Raw genomic sequence first — 898 nt, 5'->3', positions numbered from 1 at the left:
AAAAGGCATATTTGTGGTGGCATAGTGCCACACTAAAACCTAGTGCCCTTTAGTGTCCAGCTTTTCCAACACCATTTGTTGAAAACACTGTCCTTTGCCCATTTAATGATCCTGGCACCCTTGTCAAAAATCAATTGACCATATATGCATGGGTTTATTTTTGGGCTATCTATTCTATTCTGTTGGTCTATGTATCTGTCTTCTTGCCAGTACCATACCGTTTTGATTATTGTAGCTTTGTAGTAAGTTTTGAAATTAGGAAGTGTGACTTCTCTAACTTTGTTCTGCTTTTTCAAGATTGTTTTGGCTACTCGGGGTCTCTGAGATTCCATATGAATTTGGGGATGAGTGCCACTGCTGGTTTTAATGATGTAATTCCTAGGGTACTTTCTAGTATTCAAAAGTTCAGCTCTCGTTTGATGCTTTGAGTTCTCTCTACTAAATCATTGTCAGGGCTCAGAAAACGCAACCCCAAACTTCTTTGAACTGAAGATGATGGGGTGGGTCTCAGAAGCAAGAAGGTTACTCTGAACTTCCCCAACCTTTCTGTGTGACAGCTGGACATAAAGAAATTCTCTGATCTATCTTCCCTGGAAGGAGGTCATAAGACCCTTATGTGCAGGTGGCCTGCCCTATACCTGGAGGAAAAGTCAGTGAGGCCAAGAAGCACCTGAACAGACAGGCCTTGCTGAGTTCCCTCCAGTTTAGTACCATTAGGTCATACCTGCTTTTTGTACAATCACATTTCTATATGACTGTCCGTCCTTCATAACATCCAAGCATAAAAATACACTTTTCCCTGGTTCTTTGGGTCTTCCTTTCTGAAGGCTCCCATGTCATGTAAAACTCTGTTAAATAAATTTGTTACCTTTTCTCTTATTAGTCTATACTTTGCTAT

At 40.6% G+C, this 898-nt stretch overlaps 1 annotated feature.

Annotated features, from left to right (window-relative positions):
- Positions 257 to 457: a silencer, noted in NCBI's record as "peak3053 fragment used in MPRA reporter construct". NCBI's record gives its function as "represses an SCP1 promoter by STARR-seq MPRAs in K562 erythroleukemia cells {active_cell/tissue: K562}" and the evidence as "EXISTENCE:reporter gene assay evidence [ECO:0000049][PMID:32103011]".

This window comes from Homo sapiens, chromosome 18 (genome assembly GCF_000001405.40).
Source record: "Homo sapiens chromosome 18, GRCh38.p14 Primary Assembly".
Classification (NCBI taxonomy): domain Eukaryota; kingdom Metazoa; phylum Chordata; class Mammalia; order Primates; family Hominidae; genus Homo; species Homo sapiens.
This window is presented reverse-complemented; position numbering and strand designations above follow the sequence as displayed.